This window comes from Homo sapiens, chromosome 18 (genome assembly GCF_000001405.40).
Source record: "Homo sapiens chromosome 18, GRCh38.p14 Primary Assembly".
Classification (NCBI taxonomy): Eukaryota; Metazoa; Chordata; class Mammalia; order Primates; family Hominidae; genus Homo; species Homo sapiens.
Genome location: NC_000018.10, coordinates 5,275,186 through 5,298,526, shown reverse-complemented (window position 1 = coordinate 5,298,526; position 23,341 = coordinate 5,275,186). Strand labels below are relative to the sequence as shown.

Below are 23,341 nucleotides of genomic sequence, written 5' to 3'. Positions count from 1 at the left end.
GGGACTGCACACTGCGGGCCCCATGGCCTGGGCCTCACAATTCTTAGAAACAGGTTCCACTCAGGAGGCCATGGGTGTCCCAAGTGAGGAACAACGTGCTCCAAATGTCACCCATCAGAGTTGTCGGAAAAGGAGGAAAACTTTGTCAAGGACCTTGGGTCAGTGCATTTCAGGAAAGCCCTGCCCCCGCGTTGACGCCACAGTGTACTTTTACAAAGCCCCTTAGTATCAAATTCAAGGTTGTCACTTACTGTCCGCTGATGTTTATTGAAAGCCTCTTGGGTGCTGGGAAGTGCACTTTTGGGTGGCGACACAGGCGAGAAGCCAGGCTTGGGTCAGGCCTTTCCTTTGTGGTTTCCCATCCCTCCACCTTCCCACAGAGTTGTCCCTTTAATTTAGACTCATCCCCACAACCCCTGTGAACCAGCAAGGGACAGCCAGGCAGAGCCCAGGTGACATGAACATAAAACAAATGAGACAAGAGGATTCATTGATACAAAACCAGGATGTCAGGAACCGTCACTTGAGAAATGCATTCTAGTGCTTTAGAACTCTTGTGAATTATGTTATCGGGTTAGTGGAAACGTGGGAAGTCTTTTCCTAGCCATATGCGAAAAGATTGTCTTTACACAGTAGGCAGACCAAAAATACACGCAGAATGAGTGGGAAACCCCATATGTGGTATGGGAGAAGGGGGAGCGCCAGCAGCAGATGCGCCATGACTTGAGTACTGGCCGTGTCCACACATTGTGCTAACTGCAGTGGCTGCTTTACTGCTTGGTGACGCAACCCTATGACAGAGTACTATTATTATCCCCCTATAAACACACAGCATCCACAGGATTGAAATGCAACTTCAAGAGCTACGCAAACAAGAATAAAGCGAGTACACGGTATCATGTCTGATGAGTGTGAACTTTCGTGGCAGAAGACTTGGTTCTGGTTCTGTCCAGGCCACTGGAACCCACTATCTGTGGGTGCAGGTGATTTTCCATCATGGAGCTAATACCTTAGCTGGGCATTATTTCACTTAATCCTTACAAGTGCCTTATTAGGTGCTTTCCATAGCTCTCCTTCAGCTGAGGTTTAGAGAAGTTAAACAATTTACCCAATATGTGAACTGGATATGTCTGACTCTACAACCGGTCTCTTCCATCCTATTTCCTCCATATAAGCCGTAACTTGGGTGCTTTTGTGAACATCAAAAAAGATGCGTATAAAGTCGCCTTGGGGAACGTTAAACCAAAGTCAATTAACATTACAAAATCAACTGAGGCCATATAGAACTTCCTTTAGAAAATTAACACATCCAATCATCATATTATTTCCCAAATGTTTACTTAGGTGCCTGTTGCAAGCACTATCTTATGTCATCTTCAATAAGCCCAAGAGGAAGCTTCTGCTCTAATCTTTAGATATTAAATTACGCGTTTCGGGGAAACTTCGCGTGTGAGGTAAAGCAACATGAGCGACTCTAAGGCGGCGCGGCATTGCTGTCCGGCCTCCTGCATCTCGGTGAGCAGAAAACGCGGGAGCGGGAGGGACTTCCCAGCTCCCGACGCCAGACACAGGCACAGCCGCCGCGTCAGAGGGAAGGCGACGTGGTTCAACAGCAACGGAGCCATTACTGGCGCTGAGCAGGGATGTTAAGGACAGAGCCAAGTTATCAGAGCTCTCCGAATCGAGTCCAGGGTCTGGACTGCCACAGACGGGTCGCCGCCTCCAGCCCCTGGACTTTTCCTTGGAGTGTCCGGGCGCGGACCTACTAGCTCCGAAGCCCTATGGGTGATCCCTTTCTGCTGGGCAACTGGGGTTGCGCTTTACACTACAAATCGAAGACGTCGCTTTTTCCATTTGTTCTGCAAGTGTTTATTGTGCACCGTCCACTCCCCCACAAACTCAATGTGCCGGCGGCAAGAGGCAAGACCGCAGACCCGTGGGCGCGCCTCCCGGTGTCGGCCGGTGTGCGCGGAGGGCGAAAGTGGCCGGGGCGCCCGCTCCGAGACGCGGCAGAGCCCCGCAGCCTCAGCGCCCGGCCTGCGCGCGCCCGGGGGAGGCTCTGGCCCACGCACATGCACACGCACGGGAGCGCTGGCTCCCGCGTCCCCGGCGCTGCGCCGGCGCCGGGCGCGGGCGGAAGCCCACGAACCAGGGCGGGAGGGAGCTTGAGGCGGGGCGGGTGTCCGCGAGCAGCGCTCGTGCTTAAGTTCCCTGGCTCCCGAAGCCCCGCCCTTGCCCCGCCCACTCCTTCTCCCGCGCGCGGGCTCCGCGCGCCCCAAGCCGCGCGCGTGCGCGCGCGTGCGCAGGCCAGGGCCCTCCGGGGGCGGCCCCGTAGTCTCCAACGAAAGCGTCGGCAAGGGCCCGGATTAACCCTTTCTTTGCTCGCCCACTTAGAGACCCGGTCGGGTTCCGTGCCTGCGCAAGCCGGCGGCGCGCCTTCCCCCCAGCCCGCACCGCGCATGCACGGGAAGGGGGGGGCGGTGGGGGTGTTCACGGCCGGCTAGACATTCTGTGCTCGTGCAGGAGGAGGGCTGCTACCATCAGGGACGTGCACGATTTCCCCCACCCCGCCCCCTCCCCAAACTCCAAAAAAAAATCCAAAACACACTGCCACCCACCGTGCCCCCGCGCCCCGAGCCCCTCCGGTCCCGGCCTGCGTTTGCTAGCGAGCGCGGGGAACCCACGGCAGTGTCTGTGCCTGTGCCAGGCTGCAGGTAAGCGCGGGCCAGGGTGCGGAAGGGGCTGGGGCCGTCCGCAAGGCGGGCGCGGGGGCGGCCGGCGGCTGGCGGGGCGGCCCGGAAGACGCGCGTTCTCGCCGAGCTCTGGGGCACCAGCCAGCTCCAGGATGTGCGGCGGCCGCCAGCGGCGCGGCGCGGTGCGAGCGGGGACGGGCGTGGGCCAGGGTTGGGCGTGGGGCCGGGGCGCCCCGGGGGCCGCGCGGGCCGGCGAGCGGGCTCGGGGAGCGGCCAGGCGGCGGCGGCCCCGCGCGCGCGCTCGCAGAGCCTCGGCGGCCGAGTTCATGGCCGCCCCCGCTCGCACCGCCGCAGTGCACCGCGGTGGGGGTGGGGACGGCCCGAACCCAGCGCGGAGCGCGGCCCGCCGGGCGCCGCCCCTCCGAGCCGCGGGCCCCGCCGCGCCGCCTACAGCCGCCGGCGGAGGAGGGGGCCGGGACCCAGCGCACGCACTCCCGGGTGCGCCCGCGGAGCTTGGGTTAGCCGGCCGCGCGCCGCCCCCGCCCCCGGCCGCGGGAGGGCGGGGGAGGGCCCGGCGCGAGCTGGCCGGGGAGTGCGCGGGGCGCGAGCTCCGGGCTCGCGGGCGGAGCGGGGCGCGGCGCGGCGCGGGGCTGCGGAGCCGGCCGCACGCCCGCTCCCGCTCGTCGCGCCGCCGGGGCCGCCGCGGGCCGCAGTCCCTCCCTGCGCGCTCCGAGCCGCGGTCCCAAGCCTGCGCTCGACGTCTGATTATGAAAGGGAAAGTGGCCCTTTCACCACCTGGCTCCCAGGCTGGGAGCTTTTGTCTGGGAAGGAGTGCAAACGGCCTCCTCCACTCCCCACCTCCCAGGCCCAAAGAAATTGAGAGGGAGGACTCGATACGCCTTGAGGGCTTCTTGGGTCTGCGCTTGGCTCCCTGCTTCCTCCCGACTCCGAAGTTGCAAGCTTGCAACAAGGAAGTCGTGCAGCCGCCATTGTCGGGCTGCCCGGGGCAGGGGAGGCGGCTGCAGCTGCTTATGTAAGTTTTTGGCTTTGCGGGAAGCCCGGCTCCCTGCACTGTAACGCGGCTTAGCGCGCCCGCAGTTTGGAGAGCAATTAGGAAGGGGCAGCCTTATTATGAAGGTGGTGTTGGGGCTACGTCTTTTCCTACACCTGCCTACACAGATGCTGGCAACAGCTGTCTTCCAGTTTTGACTCACCTGAACTGAGCAATTGGACATCTCAATGGCAAGGGGGGCGGGGCGGGGAGGAGGCGGCTTTGGACACACATGGTCTCTCTTCCAGGTCTCATACATCTTGAGAGAGAGAGGGGAGAGGGGCGAGTGGCCAAGTACACACTAGCCAAAACAACAACAACACATTGATATGTTGTCATAGCTAGTCTAAGGCCACTCCTCTCTCTGGTCCCATGCACTTTTATCCCACAAGCCCTAGGACGAGTTAGTGACAACAGTAGTAAGTGTCACAGTGTAAGGTTTTTGCTGGGCTGCCTAGCCTCTGGATGATTACAGGCCTGGGTGCTTCTAGGGAATAGAGAGGCAGAAACACGTAGAATGATCAAGTCAGAATCATCTTTTGGAAATGTTGCCTAACCTCAAACTTCAGATGAGACATCCCGCTTCTACGCTGGGTAGCTCGGTGTGTTCACTTTTCTTTAGAAGGAGCTTATTATGGGTTTCAAGGTGTTGGTCTCCAGGTTGGAGTCTTGTTCCATGGTTTTTGTGTAAGACTGTTACAGCCCAGTCCTTTGCTCCTACCACACCAAACAACTTATCTGTGTGGTCACTGTTCAGTAGAGGAAACTTTTTGTTTTTCAGGATATGGGTCTGCAGGATGGAGTTCTTCCGGTAAGAGTTAAAACTCACAAAAAAGCTGAAATTCTTTCACCCTTATTGTAGGGATAGAGGTAAAAACACCTGGATTTATCAAATACAATCTTAAAAACAAACGTGTATGCTATTAATACATCACACAGGTGCAGAAAGAAAAAGCAATCATTGTTCCCTCTCCTCCCATGTTACCTGTTGGGTTTATGTACTTCTATAGCTTTATTTGTAAGGTATATACTTCTATAGGTTTGTATGAGCCGAGAGAAAAATGTAGAGGGCTAACATACCCAGCGGGAAATGGGATAGGTGTAGGGGGCACGGTGCACTTGTTTTTTTCTATATCTGTGTAGCCATCAATCTCTGTACAAATATGGACATGAGCTTAGTGTGTGAGGAGAAATCCCTTAATGGTTCTCCAACCCCTCCTTCCAGTTCCTAGGGCACAGCCCCTTTATGCCCGAGTGCTACAGCCCTTATCTGTTCTAGTCCATATCTGTTCAGAACTGCACTTGATGTACCAGCTACCTACCTGCCACTCTCCCCAACCTGAAAATGCACAAAAGAGGGAACAAGAAAGTTTATTTTTAAAAAATCAATTCTTGGTTTAGGATTTGGGATACAGGAAGATCCTACCTCATTCTTGTTTATCCTTTCCTCTGTAGGTCTGGCGTGCTCCTGATCAGAGTTACTCTGATCTGAAGATTTTGGCGTTCAAGGCATTAAGATAATAGCCTGAGTTGTTCATGGTAACTATAACTTTGGATATTAAATCTTGATGAAAATGACTTGGCATTTGCTTTAAAATATATATACCAATTCTGATTGTGCATGAACACTTCTATTTGTCTGGGGGAAAATATTAGCCGAATAAAAGTAAAACAATGTTTTTAAAAAGGAAACATAGAGAATGCTTTAAGATGACCAGTTTTTTAACATGATGACAGAGATCTTTCATGCCAGTTCCAAATTTTTGCTTATAAAATACTCTCAGCACTTATCAAGTACTTACATCTGGTGTTGATGGCACTTTTATCTGGATGCAGGTAGATTGGCATCTAGAGAGAACAAAGCCACTTCCCAAATGTCATCTCATTCTCTTAAGGTCAGATTAAACCTTGACCTTCATTTAGAAGTGGCCCAAAAGTGCTGTGGAAAATCTAGAACACAACACTCAATGGGATATTTTGGCAGTAATGTTCCTCTCTAGTTCTGCAATAGTAATTTGTTCCTTCTGTCAAGGAGGTATAACATAATTATTTTGCTGAATCCTCCATAGAGTAGATGGAATAAGAGTAGGTGCAACAGAGAGGACTAGAGGATTGTTCCCTTGAACCTGTTTCTTAAAACTTGAGTTTGAGTTATTTGATTATCTCTAGTCAGGAAGCACTGGTTTTGCAGCCAGATTGTCTGCATTTAAGTCCCAGCTCTTCACTAAATAGCTATAGAATATTGGGCAGATTTCTAACTTTGTCTCTAAAATAAGGATAGTGATACGTACTCATGAGGTTACCTGAATATTAAATTAATTAAAACATGTAAAGCACATAGAACAATGCCTGGGATATAACTAGGCAAATACTTAGTAAATTGAAGATGAACAGGAGTAACAATATGGAGATCCTTGAGTTGGGATCAGTCTTTTCTACCCATATTCAAAGACCACTCTTAACATTGACTTTCTGAAATTGTTAGGTTCCATAGATTGACCAGGAAATGAAAATGTGACTGTGTTCTCTATATGGAAAAGTACTATTTATAATTACTAAACTTTTTTTTTTTTTGTAGGAGTTTTTCATCAGTATGTCTGAAACCATTAAATATAATGACGATGATCATAAAACTCTGTTTCTGAAAACACTAAATGAACAACGCCTGGAAGGAGAATTTTGTGATATTGCTATTGTGGTTGAGGATGTGAAATTCAGAGCACACAGATGTGTTCTTGCTGCCTGCAGCACTTACTTTAAAAAGCTTTTCAAGAAGCTTGAGGTTGATAGTTCTTCGGTCATAGAAATAGATTTTCTTCGTTCTGATATATTTGAAGAGGTCCTGAACTACATGTACACAGCAAAGATTTCCGTGAAAAAAGAAGATGTTAACTTAATGATGTCATCGGGTCAGATTCTTGGTATCCGATTTTTGGATAAACTGTGTTCTCAGAAGCGTGATGTGTCCAGTCCCGATGAAAACAATGGTCAGTCCAAAAGTAAGTATTGCCTTAAAATAAATCGCCCCATTGGAGATGCTGCTGACACCCAGGATGATGATGTAGAGGAAATCGGGGATCAGGATGACAGTCCTTCTGATGACACAGTAGAAGGCACACCCCCGAGTCAGGAGGACGGCAAGTCGCCCACCACAACGCTCAGGGTTCAGGAAGCGATCCTGAAAGAGCTGGGGAGTGAGGAAGTTCGGAAGGTCAATTGCTACGGCCAGGAAGTAGAATCCATGGAGACCCCAGAATCAAAAGACTTGGGGTCCCAGACCCCTCAAGCCTTAACATTTAATGATGGGATGAGTGAAGTGAAAGATGAACAGACACCAGGCTGGACAACAGCCGCCAGTGACATGAAGTTTGAGTATTTGCTTTATGGTCACCATCGGGAGCAGATTGCCTGCCAGGCGTGTGGGAAGACGTTTTCTGATGAAGGCAGATTGAGGAAGCATGAGAAACTCCACACGGCGGACAGGCCATTTGTTTGTGAAATGTGCACAAAAGGTTTCACCACACAGGCCCACCTGAAAGAACACCTAAAAATCCACACAGGATATAAGCCCTATAGCTGTGAGGTGTGTGGAAAATCATTTATCCGTGCCCCAGACTTAAAGAAGCATGAGAGAGTTCACAGTAATGAAAGACCGTTTGCGTGCCACATGTGTGACAAAGCCTTCAAACACAAGTCTCACCTCAAGGATCATGAAAGAAGACACAGAGGGGAAAAGCCTTTTGTGTGTGGCTCCTGCACCAAGGCATTTGCCAAGGCATCTGATCTGAAAAGGCACGAGAACAATATGCACAGTGAAAGGAAGCAGGTTACCCCCAGTGCCATCCAGAGCGAGACAGAACAGTTGCAGGCGGCAGCGATGGCTGCGGAAGCAGAACAGCAGCTGGAGACGATAGCCTGTAGCTAGAGGCGGTGGGACAGGGACACTTTGCCTGGAAAGTGGAGACTGAGATGACGTGGATCATAATGAGTGAATGCCAGTTACAATATTTTTGTGGAAACGTATGGAACATTGTACTCACTGGACTTAAGGCAGTGCTTGGTTAGCTATTTTTAAGACTTTTCAAGGAAATGGTGTTCCTCAGTTCTGACCAAACCGTTTCACTGTCTTGTCTGGTGTCTAGTATTAATGTTGCCCAGTAAGCACCTCTCTCCCTTTTTTTTTTTTATTATTTTAATTTGAGAACTCCTGTGTCCAGTTTAGAAGTGAGAGACTTCCATTTTTAGTTCCTTTACACTCACCACCCTAGCAAGTGCCCTGCACAGAGTAATAAGTAAATTGATTTCCTAATCACAATTCTATGTGACTTATGGTCAAAAGAGCAGTTTTAATAACTTTAAAAGTACTTCAGATAGACGCAGAAAATTGGTGAGTGGTTGACCAAGAACACTGCACAAATATAAAAAAAGTTCTGGAAATGCAGAATGGCGTTAGATTTATATTTGGTTTGTTAATTTTATATCACTGTTTTTCACTGTTTTTGTGGACAAATAATGGTTGCTTTGCTGAAGTGTTCTTCCTCAATCTTGATTGCCCTGTACCTACCCAAAAGCTGTAGTCACACATCCTAAAGGCCAAGCAAACCCACCGGGATGGTGGGGGGTCTTGGAGCCAAGCTCTTAGGTTCCTCTTATTTGGGGCAGTACCAGTCCATACCAGCTGCGATTTGTGAGTGGACCTGTGGTAAGAAGAATAGAAAAGGCTCTCAGAGATAAGGTTTTTTACATGTGTAACAATCCCAAGATTTCCTAGATTAAAATCTTAATTGATTTTGAAATTGGATTTTTATTTAGAATCAAAATTAGGACAAGAACAGATAACTTCTTCAGATACATTTGTGTAACTTTACAGAATGTCATCAAGCTTTGGGGCTCTGTGGGGCACATGATTTATCCATAAAGGAGATGCAGTATGCTTACTTAAATTAATAAATTTAAAATCTTTTAAGTGTGTAAATAGTAGTGTTGGTCTTACGTATTTCAAGTAAAAAGTAGACAGCTGCACTTTTTTTGCACATTGGATTAAAATAACTTCCATCAGCAACAAACATCAGACTGTTTTTAACAAATATTAAAGATTGTCAGACCAAATGTTTATGTTTTCGAAATATATTTCATCACTGGTTACAGTTTTAAATAGAAGTTGATTGCCTTTTCATAGCCGTAAATGAGAATTATAAACTCTATTCCAGTTTTGGTATACTAAATGTTCTTTTAACCATCTTTAGGAATATATTGAAATGCCAACAATAGTTTGAATTGTGTTCTGTAAAAAAGTATTAGTCAATTATTTTTCAAAATGTAGAATTGTAGAAAATGTCAATTTTTCAAACTCATTTTTCATTGCTAGGATTTCTTTTAAAAAAATTAAAGTAATTTCACTTCATAGCTTGTTGCATTAACACCTGTAATTCTATTGTGAAAGAAATTTGATTTTTTAATTGGTGTGTGTTATGCCCAAGATGTTAGGATGAAGATGCTACCTTTTTAAAAATTTTAGTTATTGGTAAAATGTTTAATTTTACTTAAAATTAATTTCTTTTCTTGAAAGTTGTTTATTCTGTTCTAAAAGTAGTCCTGTCACTGTGTTTTTATGCTACTTATAGAAGGGGAACTGATTGCCGTTCCTAGGCTGTTTTAACCAAAGCAAAGGAAAAATAATTTTAACATCTTGTCAATAGCTACTTCAACAAACCATATTTTGGGACTTCATTTTTTGTATATAAAAGAAAATATACTTCTATCATTCCTCTTTTCATTTTTTCATAGCAACCTTCCACATACCTAGATTTCTACCAAAATGTATTTTGTATGCTAGCTTCATCCTGGCTTTACAGAGTTGAAGTTAAACATGTGATATTAACCTCCTTTGAAACCACATAGTCATGGTGGTAACCCCCAAAAAGAAAGGTTAATTTTCAGCAGTCTATGTGATGCAAATATTTATCATTTAGCCTATTTTGCATGAGAAATGTATTTGTGTTATTTCTGCCACTGGTACTGGGTTTACACGTGTGTTAGGGCACCTGTTTCCTTTATATATTTTTGGTGGCAGCAGAATCCTATCATGGCAGCTCTCCTGTCTGCTGGGTCCTGGTCAGTAACACTGCCTCTCTACACCTGGCTGGATTTGGTAGTCCTCTGCATAGTGGAGCCATCGTGTTAGAGTCTTCAAGTTACCTCCAACACCCTAGGGAGTTAATTCTGAAATGTGGTTACTCTGAATCTGTAATGTAAGAGGAAGGTCAAGGCTAAGTGTCAACATTACTACCTTTTCATTACTTACAAATCATTGACTTTTTTCTGTTTTTACAGAGAATGCTACAAACTTGATGTTAGCTTTTGTGCTTAATTTGCATTGTATTGGCACTGATTGAGGAAGAGAAATTTAGGAAGTTTAAATGTAAAGTAATTTGCCGGCCATTAACTTGATCACTAATTTAGAATTGTTAGAAAATACAGAGGTCGCCATCAAGTGAGGTTGACACTAACAAATTCACCCTATTTTGTTAGGAAAAAAAAGACAAGATGAGGGAAAATGATGCAAATTTATGTAGTTTCCAACTTAATGGGTTATTTTGTGTAGTTATCTGTAAGTCATTTGGAAGGTGGGATTCATTGTCACATAGTAATGCTATTAGTGGTGTTTTGTTCTCAGGATTAGCAAGCCTTAGGGTGCAATTGTAGTAGAGCTGGCACATAGTAAGGATTGTGGTGCAGGGTTGAGTCCTAGGCGGAGGCAGAGAACTGTTACAGCAAAGAGAACGGAAAGCTCTCACTCCCTTTGAAGTCTGTCTCCATTTTTGCTTACCCTCTTGTAACTGGAGCTCTTTCCCCCTGGGAACTATTTATAATAGGGTTAATCCTGCATCTACTTAAGGTATGTAAAGATAGCATGTTGCCTACTTGTGTTGAGCATCATATGCGAGGCACTGGGCTGGACCCTGGAGATGCAAAGGCAGAAGCAGTTTGGTCCCTGGCTGTTAGAGTGAGTGTGCCCCTTCCCAGTCTGGTCTTACATGTTCTTTTTGAAAATGTTTTTCCATCACCTGTTATCCATGATTCCTTAAAGGTTGCCATACTGATCTCATCTTAGGGGCCCTGGGTGTAATTTATCTGGATTGTGACAGATTTTAGCAGTTGGGTGTTTTCATGATCTCTTCAAAAGATGTTCCCACCTACCAATACTCATTTAAATCTTTTCAGTATAACGAGGAGGTGAGGTTTAGTGGAAAGACTTTACAAGACAAACTTAGATTTGGATCCTGGTTTTGCCTCTCAGTAACTGCAAATTCAGACAAGTTCTTAACTGCCTTCAGCCTGAGTTTCACCATCTCTAAAATACTGGTATTTCTGCCTCACAGCCTGCTGAGGATTAATGTGATGGCCAGGAAAAAACATTAACCCCAGCATCGACACTTTTTAGGTTCACTGTAAATGTTCCCCGCTTCCTAAAGAGCATTCCCAATGGAGTAGACAGAAGCTGAGAAGCATCTCTCAGTTCTACAATCATTGGCCCTCAGCTGTAGACCTAGACCTCATTAAGTGTTATTAACTGAAAATGTCTACACTGTGTTTGTCTTAGTATTTCTGTAAGCTTCGGTCCATTTGTGGCTCTGGTCTTACAAACTTGTATATTTGTCTAAATGTTGTCTTTGATTTTGTAATTTCCCATCGTGTACATTTTAAAGTAAATCATTGGAATGTAGTCGGTGTAAACACTGGCCTCTCTGGATGGCTCCCTTCTCTTCTTTGGGAACATCTGTGATGGCAGAACCAGAATGGCAGAACCAGAATTGCAATTTTGAGAGCTGGCTTTTGAATCTCATACATGAAATCATACATTAAGATATTTTTGCAGTATGCTTTTCTAAAATTGGGTGCATTTCAGGCTGCACCCAACTGTTCCCTTTCTAGTTAATTCCAAGATGATCTGTTGCTTTCTCCCCAGAGGGGCCTAGACTACATCCATTAATTCCATTTTTTTTCCCTTTAGTTCCAGAATAACAGTTTGCTGAGTCACTCTGCTCTTCTTTGGGGGATATTTCTACTAACCTTACACATAAGTACTTTTTATAGCCTAAGATTAAAGTATGTCAGTCATTGAATGCCTTGTATGTGCCTGGCATTTGACTATGTGCTGGGAATGCAACAGTGAGCAAGACCAGCACCATTCCTGCCCTTCTGGAGTTATCCAGTGTGGGATGCTTATCTTTCCAAGTTTTACAACATTTTACAAGGATTTACAAATAATGTAATGATCACAAATAGGCAAACTGCTATTTTAAAAAAAAATCTGCCATGTTATGTATTTTAATCCAGTTCATGGAACATACTTTAGAAAGTAGGAATTTTTAATAAGTTGTCATGGGTTAGTGGTTAGTGGTGCCAACATAAACATTCTTAAATGACTTGGGAATGTATACTGAGAAAATAATATCTATTAATTATTGCCATTTCCATAGAATGATTCTCATTTTCCCTGATACTGGATTTCAACAAGAGGAATAGTAATAAGAGGCTAAGATATATTTCTTTAAAATAATAGATGCTTGCATCAAGAAAGATACTGATGCAAATAAAATGAGAGGAGTAAAGAATGATAACCTGGGCTCCAGTGACTTTGGGCAAGGATGGTAATGAGGGTTTGAGGGAGGAAGCACCATGAGCAAATAGAGTATGCCCAGTAGTGTCTGAGACTGCAGATGTTCCCTTAGTGCCCACTGACCAGTTAAGGTTGACAGTCTTGATAGGATAACAAGCAAGCTAATGGAAATCTGAAAAGAAAAAATATGTCTTCTGATGGTTTTAGATCAGCTGCTGCTTGTCATGTTGATGGAGTTTTGAGAAAGCGTTCTATGCTATTAAACTCACTTGGAATTGACTCATTTTCTGTGTTCAGCTGAAAGGCAGGAGCTTCGTATGGTCATTTTTTTTTTTTTTCTACTGACTTTGAACTTCAGTCACAGGAGAGATAGTCAAGGGGTTAGGATTTTAATGATAAAACCTAGTATATGTTGAATATTTGCCAGGTTTGGCACTATATACACAATCACTATGTTTTATGACAAGTCTGAGGTAGGTACTCATTACCACTAGTGAAGACACCAAGATTCAAAGAAGTTAAAAATCCTGCCCAATATCAGTCTTATCAGAGCTGGGACAGGAAAGCAGGTCCATCTGCCTCCAGAGCCTGTGCCCTTAGTGACCGTGTTGTTGGCCTCAAGCCACAAAATGTGCAGCTGTGGCCCCACACACATCCTTACTGAGTTCAGACCGCTGTTTGGCAGATGGCAAACACTCTTCTCACTGGAGAAGAGAGAGGCATTTATGCAGACAGCTGTCTCTATGTCTCTGTGCTAAATTGGTCCTTACATTTTTATTTCTCCAAAATGTCTCCCATGCAGGGTACTAATCCTAAACCAATATTGTTTTACCTTGCTTCAGGTGTACAGGCTGCCCCCACGTGATACGAAAAATAAACTGCCGGTAGAATGTCACAGATAATTGCAATATAACACAAAGCTACCAGTTAGCCTTCTTCACATGTTCCATTATGTGGCGAGCCAAGCAAAACCCACAAGACCGAAGGCCATCTAGTCGGGGGCCTATGTAAAAATGGTCTTCTGTGTTAGGAGATCTCCCTATCTATACTCTCCTCTCCTTGCCGCCTTTCTCTCTCTGAAAGGTGTTAGAAAACTTGGATTCAGATTCTGCCTCCACTATTTTCAGGCTATGTCACCACCTTAGGCTGGTTGCATAATCGTTCGTAATTTCTGCCAAAATGCAAATGATTCACTGCCCCATGTACACCATTCTTGCTTATTATTCCAAAAGATAAACTCACTTTAAGGGATAGATAAGAAGTTCAGCCTTAAAATCAGATATAATTGATTTAAAATATTACTGACTTCAAATAGGACGGAGATGTCTAGAAGTTTGACATTTGGGAAACAGTATTACATTTCATTCTTAGGCTGTTTACATTTAATTTAATTTAAAGTATGTGTAATGTTTTGGCTATTCTGTTTCTGTAATCTTCCAGCCAATACAAAACAGGAAATATTAACCAGATTGGAAGGCTACTGGATCAATTGGCATTAGTGTAAACAAGATTACATTTAATAGTCTTGATACCCTGTAATAAAATGTGGGATTGAGAAAAGAGAAATGAAAAACAGTAGGGGTAAATTAATTTTGGGTGGTATATAATCATTATTTTCCCAAACTTCTGGGAGTTACAAAATCATAGGACTTTAAAAAAAAATACATTATGTACAGAAAACAATTTTAACTTTGGTGATACAGTAGAACTGAACTGTATACTAATTAAACTCTGACATCTACAGAGTGCTTTACAGTATACATTATTAAGGTAGCTTACAATATTATGAATAGGTATTACTATTCTCATTTTACAAACTGAAAAAAAAAGAGCTCAAACCTAGGTTCTGTGATTCTGGTGTCTGAATTACAAGCAGCCTGAAATAGAATCCTAAATTGCATATAGGATCTATTTATTTCATTTATATAAAGCTTTTGGCTCTTTCTAAAATTATAAAAGATTAAGATTTGAAAGACTGCATTTAAAACTCCTAAGTTCCTAAATTTGCTTTTTTTATTTTTTTACTATATATTACTGTTATTGTCTTCCAGTATCCATACTACCCTTGTTCTGCTGCATTTTAAATTTGGCATTGTACTTCTGACTCTAAAATCTCAGATCAGGTTTTTTTTTTTTTTTCCTACTGCAAAACTTTGAAAATATTTGTATTGGTAAAAAAGCCAGTGTAGTGATTTAGAATATGGGCTCTGGATTCAGACTGCGTGGGTGTGAGTTCCAGTTCTACCACTACCTGGTTGGCCTTGGGCAAGTTATTGAGCCTTTCTAAGTTTCATTTTCTCATCTGTAAAATGTGATAATAATGTTGCGAGAATTATGTGAGACAAGCTATAGAAAGTTCTTATATATGACCTTATAATTGTGTTATTTCTACCAATCAAGTAAAAGGTAATAACACTTTGATTTCAGTCACCACTCACCATTTAGCTTGCTTATAAGAACTTTGACTAACTGATTTCACCTTCATGAATCATTTCCTTGTTTTAAAGGAGGTGATTGCACTTGGTGGTCTTTAAGGTTATTTCAGGATTCAATTCTATTATTCTGTAATTAATTAGTTGGAGTAACACACCAAAAGCGCTTTTAATGTAATTACTTGAAGTTTTTCGTGCATCTAACACCAAATGAGCACTAAAGGTGATCACAAGATGCAGGTTCCTCAGTACCTTGAGAGGTCACAGGAGAGGGATGTTCAGAGACTGGTCATCATCTCTCAAGCTTTGCCAGAGTTTAAAGTGGGAGGAATGTGGATGATTCCATGCAAATTGTCACAACTCCTAGCAAAATAATTCAAATCACACTTGATGTAATCCACATAAACCTGGGATTTCCTGCTCCTATTTTAAGGGCCTTCTCAGCTTTTGGAGATGCATCCAAAAGAAGTAGAAATCTTACTCTCAATAGTATTGAAAAATAATGTAGTTATTTACTGAAGTTTTTCTGAATTAGTGTCAACAAGTAGATCACACAGCAGCACTTCTTAACATTTCTTTTTATATTTCTCCATTTCTTTTAGCAGCTTCTTCTCATCTTTTCCTTTCTCTCTCAGCTGAATCTAAAAAAGTCATCTCACTCTCCCATGGTTTGGGAAAAACACTAACCACATTTCCTCTCCTCTCACACCACAACAATCATAAACACAAAAGACTCTCATAACCAATAGTTGGGTGGGAGGGAGCAGAAATCCCCCCACCAAGTGAGTAACCACTTCTGCAGCTCAGTGTCCTCCAATTTAATTCTGACACTACCTGGGGATAGCATCAGATTCCACAGATTGAGGTTTCAGTCCCCAAGACTGCCCTCCATCAGACGCCACTTACAAGTCCAGGCCTCTGGAACTTCTGACCAAGCAACTTCAAGCTGGGCTTCCCATGACCCCCACTTTAGATTTGGAGGTAAGATTAATTTGCTGGAGCAGCTCACAGAACTCAGGGTAACATGTTTACTGGTTTATTATAAAGGATACTTCCAAAGATACAGATGAAGAGATGTGTAGGGTGAGGTATGGAGAAAGGAGCATGGAGCTTCCATGCACTCCCTGGGTGCCATCCTCCAGGAACCCCCTTTTAGCTCCCCAGAGGCTCCCCAACCAAGTCCTCTTGGGTTTTTATGGACTACCATGTGGAAATGTGATTGGCCTCCAGGGTATGAGGTAAGACCCTCTCTGGAATTATGATCTCATGACCTGCAACTGGAAAGGCGGGGGAATATTAGAGTCCTGCCTTGGGACAGGTGAAAGAAGGACAGAAGGTCAGAGAGATTCTATTTCCTGAGGCCCGACACACCCAACATTATAACAAAAAACTATAACAAGGGCTATGGAAGTTGTGAGCCAAGAACTGTGGACAAAAACCTATATCTGTATCTCTCTTTTTTTTTTATTATACTTTAAGTTTTAGGGTACATGTGCACAATGTGCAGGTTAGTTACTATGTATACATGTGACATGCTGGTGTGCTGCACCCACTAACTCGTCATCTAGCATTAGGTATATCTCCCAATGCTATCCCCAGAGTGTGATGTTCCTCTTCCTGTGTCCATGTGTTCTCATTGTTCAATTCCCACCTATGAGTGAGAATATGCGGTGTTTGGTTTTTTGTTCTTGCAATAGTTTACTGAGAATGATGATTTCCAATTTCATCCATGTCCCTACAAAGGACATGAACTCATCCTTTTTTATGGCTGCATAGTATTCCATGGTGTATATGTGCCACATTTTCTTAATCCAGTCTATCATTGTTGGACATTTGGGTTGGTTCCAAGTCTTTGCTATTGTGAATAGTGCCGCAATAAACATACGTGTGCATGTGTCTTTATAGCAGCATGATTTATAGTCCTTTGGGTATATACCCAGTAATGGGATTGCTGGGTCAAATGGTATTTCTAGTTCTAGATCCCTGAGGAATCGCCACACTGACTTCCACAATGGTTGAACTAGTTTACAGTCCCACCAACAGTGTAAAAGTGTTACTATTTCTCCACATCCTCTCCAGCACCTGTTGTTTCCTGACTTTTTACAACTATCTGATCTTTGACAAACCTGAGAAAAACAAGCAATGGGGAAAGGATTCCCTATTTAATAAATGGTGCTGGGAAAACTGGCTAGCCATATGTAGAAAGCTGAAACTGGATCCCTTCCTTACACCTTATACAAAAATCAATTCAAGATGGATTAAAGACTTAAATGTTAGACCTAAAACCATAAAAACCCTAGAAGAAAACCTAGGCAATACCATTCAGGACATAGGCATGGGCAAGGACTTCATGTCTAAAACACCAAAAGCAATGGCAACAAAAGCCAAAATTGACAAGTGGGGTCTAATTAAACTAAAGAGCTTCTGCACAGCAAAAGAAACTACCATCAGAGTGAACAGGCAACCCACAAAATGGGAGAAAATTTTCACAACCTAGTCATCTGACAAAGGGCTAATATCCAGAATCTACAATGAACTCAAACAAATTTACAAGAAAAAAACAAACAACCCCATCAAAAAGTGGGCGAAGGACATGAACAGACACTTCTCAAAAGAAGACATTTATGCAGCCAAAAAACACATGAAAAAATGCTCACCATCACTGGCCATCAGAGAAATGCAAATCAAAACCACAATGAGATATCATCTGTATCTCTCTATAACACCACACCTACATAAATATTTTCCCAAGTATTTCCACTATTCCTTCAACCTTTTCCTCTACCATCCTTTTGCACATAAAGCAGTTGTATCTGTTGTCGGAATCTGACATTTGCTCTCTATCCCTTCTTGGAATTAATTAAGGCCTAGGTCTGCTTGCAGAGCAAGTAGGAGGGAGGAGGTATTACAGTTACACAGATTTATTTTCACAGCTGTCACATTATTAGTGTTCTGGTCTTACTATTCACCACTCTCCCCCTACCCTCCCCAAAAAAGAAAAGAAAAGTTATTGCATTATGTTTTACATTATTATCACAGGTCAAATCCCATTACGTCAAAATAGGTCACTTCTAAAGTTCAGTTTTATTTTGGCTTTTAAATAGTATAATCTGCCCTCCTATATTGCAGAAATGTAGAAAAATGCTTTGAGAAAAGCACTAAATGGAATAGATTTATAATATTTACCTGGAAGAAAATAATTATAGTTTCTAGGAATTAGAAACTACCTCCTTAAGTGGGAGAGATTAATGCTTGTTCAATTTCAACTATTTTTAGCGCTAAATTTGGTATTTTTCTCTATTATGTTGCTTGTTTTATTTCTCAAATTTAGACTTAAATCTATTGACTTCCTATGAAGATCTTTACCTTCCTTACATCTTGTACATATATACATTTGTGTTCCTCCTGTACTGCTAGTACAGTTTCATCATCATTTTGTTAAATCAAAATTCATTGTTTATAGGATTGCGATATGTAAATGCTGTTGCAGCTGAGCCACCTAGCATACTATGATATATTTTCCTTGCTTGCAAGTTGTTTCCCTGCAGCTAAGAACTTTTGTTTCCTTAGGTTTTTATGTGTATACCAGTAATTCCACCCTAAACTCTGTGCTAGTTGTCTAAGTCTCCTGTCCGTATGTCAGTTGTGAGGTATTACATCATTTGCATCTGTTTGAAGAACTTCATCTCAGAGAGTGCTGGGCACTGATATTCTGGGCCTCCCTTGACCATTATTCTAGAACTCCATTCTTGAATTGGATTACCAACTATAGATCTCACCTTGTCTTTTCCTGATTTGTTCTCTTGTTTTGGTGAAAGAACAATGGTATGGTTTGGCTCTGTGTCCCCACCAAAATCTCATGTTGAATTGTGATCCCTAATATTGGATGTGGGGCCTAATAGGAGGTGATTAGATCATGGGGGCAATTTAGCTCCCATGATTGTTTAGCACCATGCTCATAGTGCTGTCTTGTGACAGCATTCTCCTGTGATCTGCTTGTTTAAAAGTGTGTAGCACTGGCTGAGCATGGTGGCTCATGCCTGTAATCCCAGCACTTTGGGAGGCCAAGGCGGGTGGATCATGAGGTCAGGAGATCGAGACCATCCTGGCTAACACGGTGAAACCCCGTCTCTATTAAAAAAATACAAAAAAGATTAGCCAGGTGTGGTGGCAGGCACCTGCAGTCCCAGCTACTTGGGAGGCTGAGGCAGGAGAATGGTGTGAACCCGGGAGGCAGAGCTTGCAGTGAGCCCAGATTGTGCCACTGCACTCCAGCTTGGGTGACAGAGCGAGATTCCGTCTCAAAAAAAAAAAAAAAAAAGTGTGTAGCACCATCTCCCTCCTACTGGCCATGTGAAGATGTGCTTGCTCCCCCTTTGCCTTCTGCCATGATTGTAAGTTTCCTGAGGCCTCCACAGAGGGAGAAGCCTGTACAGTCTGCAGAATCGTGAGCCGACTAAAGCTCTTTAAAAATTACCCAGTCTCAGGGATGTCTTTAGAGCAGTGCAAGAATGGAATAATTCAAACACATCCTCAATTGGAAGAGTGAATGAGAGGTGAACTTTTTGAGGTCCATTTTGCCTTCATGCTTTATTGATGGTTTGGCTGGGGGTAGAAAATAATTTGTAGGGAAGTGAATAATTTCATGTTTCTCCATAGTTAGGGCTTTCCGAGTGCTTTTAATAACACCTACGTTGAGAAACTAGCCTGGGAAGGGTAAAATTGAATAGCCAGAGACTTGCAGAAAGATTTAGAGACTTACCTCCAAATGCATTCAAATTTCAAAGGGGGATGACCCCAAGAGCCAGTTATTCATGTTCCAAAGGATGAGGAATGACTAGGGAGCAAAGGTTTCTCTGCTTCTCTCAGATGATGATAGGGCCACTGGTGGCCTGTATAAGCCCCCCAGATAATTTCAGGCAGATTCTCATATGTGCAGGGTGACGTGGCTTTCATCATGTTTTGTGTAGATACTGGGGATGGGGAACTCTTGCAGTGATTGCTATAATAGCAACTATGAATTCTGCTTCCAAAATCTGACATTTACTTTCAGGATAGAAATTTGAGTACAGATATTAAAACCTTATAATAAACCTTTAAAATTTTGAAAATGTCTTGAAAAGTCTGATGCCATTCTCAGTTTTGATCCCTTATGTGCAACCTATGGATTTTTCTCTCTTCAAAGTTGGAAAAATCTTCCTGTCACCCCCTATATTCTAAAATATGGTGATGTTTCCTAGTGTGGATGTACTGGAAACTGGTAGGTCCTTTCAGTCTGGAAAATATATCCTTCAATTATTCTGGAAAGTTTTCTTGAATTATTTATGATTTACTCATTTTTTTTCTTTTTCTTCACTTTTCCTAGACAAGCCCTCTAAATTTATTCTTATTGTTTATTTTTCATCTCTTTGTCCTTGATCAAATTTTTGAGAAATTTTCTTAACTTTATGTTTCTAACATTTATATTTTTTAAAAAAATTCATTTTGAAATAATTTTAGATTTAGGAAATATTGATCAGAAAATAAGTAGAGAATTTCCCAGTGAACTTCTTCTAGTGTTAGCATCTTACGTAACTATAGTACAATGATGAAAACCATGAAATAAAATTGATGCAATTCTGTTAATTAAACTATAGACTTAATTTTGAATTTCACCCTTTTTTCACTAATGTCCTTTGTCTGTTATTAGATCCAGTCCACAATTTCACGTTGCAATTATTTCTTACATTTTCTTAATTTTCTCCAATCTGAAAGTTCCTTATTCTCCCCATGTCTTTCATAGTCTTGATACTTTTTGGACAGTACTGTTAAGTTACATTTTAGACTGTCTCAATTTATTTTGTCTGATACTTTCCCACATTGCATTGAAATTATGCATTTTTTGGCAAGAATACCACAGATGCAATGTGCCTTTCTCTTAATTTATCTTAACATTTTTGTGTATGCTCTCCAGATTTCTATGTATATATATATATATTTAAATATATAACATGATCCCATATTTATTTTTTATCATGCTTCTTTCATTAAATGGCATAAAACAAAACACCTTTCAATAACAATATCCTTGCATAGTATGATTTTTATTTCTGCATAATATACCATTGTTTGGAACTTACCATAATTTATTTAAGCCTTCATTTTAACTGTTTTTATATGCTTAATGCTTTGTGTATATAAAGCATACCACTATTACTAACTCTTTGTTCACATCTCTGTGCACAGTATATATCCTTGAGATAGATCTTAAGAAGTAGACTTATTAGGTCAATATAGATGAAAAATTATAAGGCTTTGTTATCCACAGTCAAGTTGCCTTTAAAAGGTAATATTATTTATACTTCTTTCAGCTGTGTCATACCTTTTTAAACATTTACATTCATGTGTATTCATATTAACATCTGTGAATACTATGGGAGACCAGAATATGCCTTGTTAAAATATAGAGGTTTGTTGAGCAGAAATCAAGAAGAGGCAGATAAGGAAAGCTCTCTGTCCTTCATTTGTTTCATAGATTTACGAAGACAAAAGGTATCCTGCTGCCCTTTCCTGCTGTTCTACGAGGGAGAACAAAGTTAAGTACCAACAACTTTGGACTCTTAGCCTGGTCATGGCAACAGAGGAATCTACATTAACAAGCTTTACTAACCAGCCTTTATCTGCCAGTTATTTGCCTTCCCCCTACATTGCTACCTCTAAAGACACAAAGTTCCTTCCTTTTGACCTGTTACTTCGCTAAAAATGTATGGCTCTTTGTTGAAGATGCTATATAAGTTGGAATTCACAGCCACCTCTTTGAAAGCTACTCATTTTCTGGGTGTCTCCCACGTGTATATGAAATATGTATGTTAACAAACTTATGATTGTTTTTCTCTTGTTAATTTGTCTTTTGATACAGGGGTCTTTTCCAACTAAGAACCTATGAAGTTTGAAGAAAAATTGTTCTTCCCCCACAATACATTTATTTAAAAAAATGTAGTTCTTTTAACATTTTACATTATAGGAGGTATTAAAAACATCAGTTTTTAATGATAAAACTGAAGAGTCTAGTAAGAGTTTAATCCTTTTCTTTAAAGATAGAAATCTTCCTACAAAGGACATGAACTCATCCAAAAGAAAAAAATTAAATGGCAAAAAAAAGAAAGATTAAAAAAAAAAAGAAATCTTCCATTTTCACCCTATCACTTTATCTGTCCCTAACTGACTCTAAAACTTTGTGAAAGTTAGGTAAACATGGTGGAATAGACCTTTCAGTGGTTTCCTGGAGATATATCCAGTATATATCCTAATATACTTTCTCATACAGATACATTCATTGGGGTGTATATGTTTTCTACAAGAAATTTTAAATTTTATTTTTATAATAATAATGAAAAGTAATACCAAATATGTTTGGGAAGACCATCTTATAAACAAGAAATAACTGCCAATCACTTGCAAATCCCACATTTTTTGCTTAGGATTCTATAATGTCTTAGTCCTTTTGTTCTGCTATAACAGAATACAACAGACTGGGTAACTTAAAAAGAGGAGAAAGTTATTTCTCTCTGTTTTGGTGGCTGGGAAGTGCAAGATCAAGTTATAGGCATTTGGTCTTGTGAGGGCCCTCTTGCTGCATCCTCTCATAGCAAAAGGCAGGAGGGCAAGTGAGCTAAATCCTGTGTGAAGCCTCTTTTATGAGGGCCTTAATCCCATTAATGAGGAATGAGCCTTCATGACCGAATCCTCTCTTAAAGGCCCCATGTCCTAATGCCATCACATTGGCAATATCTGAATTTAGGAGATTAAGTTTTAACATGAATTTTGGAGGAGACAGACATATTCAAACCATAACACATACTACAACAAAGAAAGGTACTATCTGTGTTGTCATGGAATAATAAGAAAACCTGATGAAAGTAGATTCCATAAGTAGAGTTGTATTCTTGCAAATGGCATTGAACAAATGAAAGTTTGGTTGTGTTAATAAAAACACGACAAAGTAGCATCTATCTTAAGCATTTAAATGTAAGTCATTTAAATGTACCTTTATTTACCTGCATTTTGATACAGGGCCAAGGTCTTTTATGTGAGCCCAATGTCTAGATTCCATAATCTATTTTTTAAATAATTCATACTCATAATACTACTGCTTTTCTCAAATGGAGAGGGGACTTAAATCCATTGTGAAACAATTATTACATCTCAGATTTTTTAATTTTTGGGGGTCAATATTTTATATTTGTCTCATCTATACATAATATAACAATTTAACCATTCAAATTTTTCCCAAAGAGCCAACAGATTTTTAAAATGGAAACCACCCTTCTCTTTCTTCTCATAATTATTTATCAGTTTGTGAAATACTTAATTAAATTTCATATTTAAATTAACAAGTACAACTGGCATAACATGTCTGGGGTGGAAATAGAGGAAGACAACAAACTCTTGGCAGGCATACAATTCAATTTATAGAGGCAGACATATGTGAATGTTCTAGACAGTAGCCCACTAGCCGTGAGCGTATAGTGGGCTATAGGTGTCAGACAAGGGAATATATAGT

At 41.8% G+C, this 23,341-nt stretch overlaps 1 protein-coding gene across 10 annotated transcripts, besides 8 other annotated features; it reads left to right on the top strand.

The window, feature by feature from the left end:
* Positions 1,470 to 2,155: an enhancer, noted in NCBI's record as "H3K27ac hESC enhancer chr18:5296371-5297056 (GRCh37/hg19 assembly coordinates)". NCBI's record gives its function as "activates a minimal SCP1, AML or CMV promoter by ChIP-STARR-seq in primed H9 embryonic stem cells {active_cell/tissue: H9 hESC(primed)}" and the evidence as "EXISTENCE:reporter gene assay evidence [ECO:0000049][PMID:30033119]".
* Positions 1,470 to 2,382: a biological region, named in NCBI's record as "H3K27ac hESC enhancer GRCh37_chr18:5296371-5297056".
* Positions 1,474 to 9,505, top strand: ZBTB14 (zinc finger and BTB domain containing 14). Of its 10 annotated transcripts, none has more exons than NM_001243704.2 (4): positions 1,474 to 1,515; positions 4,526 to 4,555; positions 5,200 to 5,283; positions 6,323 to 9,505. In NM_001243704.2, the coding sequence occupies exons 3-4, from the start codon at positions 5,281 to 5,283 to the stop codon at positions 7,667 to 7,669; spliced, it is 1,350 nt and encodes a 449-aa protein (NP_001230633.1). In that variant the 5' UTR covers positions 1,474 to 1,515; positions 4,526 to 4,555; positions 5,200 to 5,280; the 3' UTR covers positions 7,670 to 9,505. The 10 variants fall into 10 exon arrangements, with proteins under 10 accessions (NP_001230633.1, NP_001137295.1, NP_003400.2 ...); NM_001143823.3 differs by lacking the exon at positions 1,474 to 1,515 and adding an exon at positions 2,507 to 2,714; NM_001243702.2 differs by lacking the exon at positions 1,474 to 1,515 and adding an exon at positions 2,801 to 2,875.
* Positions 1,593 to 1,752: an enhancer, noted in NCBI's record as "active region_13055". NCBI's record gives its function as "activates an Ori minimal core promoter by ATAC-STARR-seq in GM12878 lymphoblastoid cells {active_cell/tissue: GM12878}" and the evidence as "EXISTENCE:reporter gene assay evidence [ECO:0000049][PMID:35858748]".
* Positions 1,963 to 2,382: a silencer, noted in NCBI's record as "silent region_9262". NCBI's record gives its function as "represses an Ori minimal core promoter by ATAC-STARR-seq in GM12878 lymphoblastoid cells {active_cell/tissue: GM12878}" and the evidence as "EXISTENCE:reporter gene assay evidence [ECO:0000049][PMID:35858748]".
* Positions 2,463 to 3,402: a silencer, noted in NCBI's record as "silent region_9261". NCBI's record gives its function as "represses an Ori minimal core promoter by ATAC-STARR-seq in GM12878 lymphoblastoid cells {active_cell/tissue: GM12878}" and the evidence as "EXISTENCE:reporter gene assay evidence [ECO:0000049][PMID:35858748]".
* Positions 2,463 to 3,530: a biological region, named in NCBI's record as "H3K27ac hESC enhancer GRCh37_chr18:5294996-5295682".
* Positions 2,844 to 3,530: an enhancer, noted in NCBI's record as "H3K27ac hESC enhancer chr18:5294996-5295682 (GRCh37/hg19 assembly coordinates)". NCBI's record gives its function as "activates a minimal SCP1, AML or CMV promoter by ChIP-STARR-seq in primed H9 embryonic stem cells {active_cell/tissue: H9 hESC(primed)}" and the evidence as "EXISTENCE:reporter gene assay evidence [ECO:0000049][PMID:30033119]".
* Positions 3,531 to 4,218: an enhancer, noted in NCBI's record as "H3K27ac hESC enhancer chr18:5294308-5294995 (GRCh37/hg19 assembly coordinates)". NCBI's record gives its function as "activates a minimal SCP1, AML or CMV promoter by ChIP-STARR-seq in primed H9 embryonic stem cells {active_cell/tissue: H9 hESC(primed)}" and the evidence as "EXISTENCE:reporter gene assay evidence [ECO:0000049][PMID:30033119]".
* Positions 9,506 to 23,341: the final 13,836 nt, after the last annotated feature.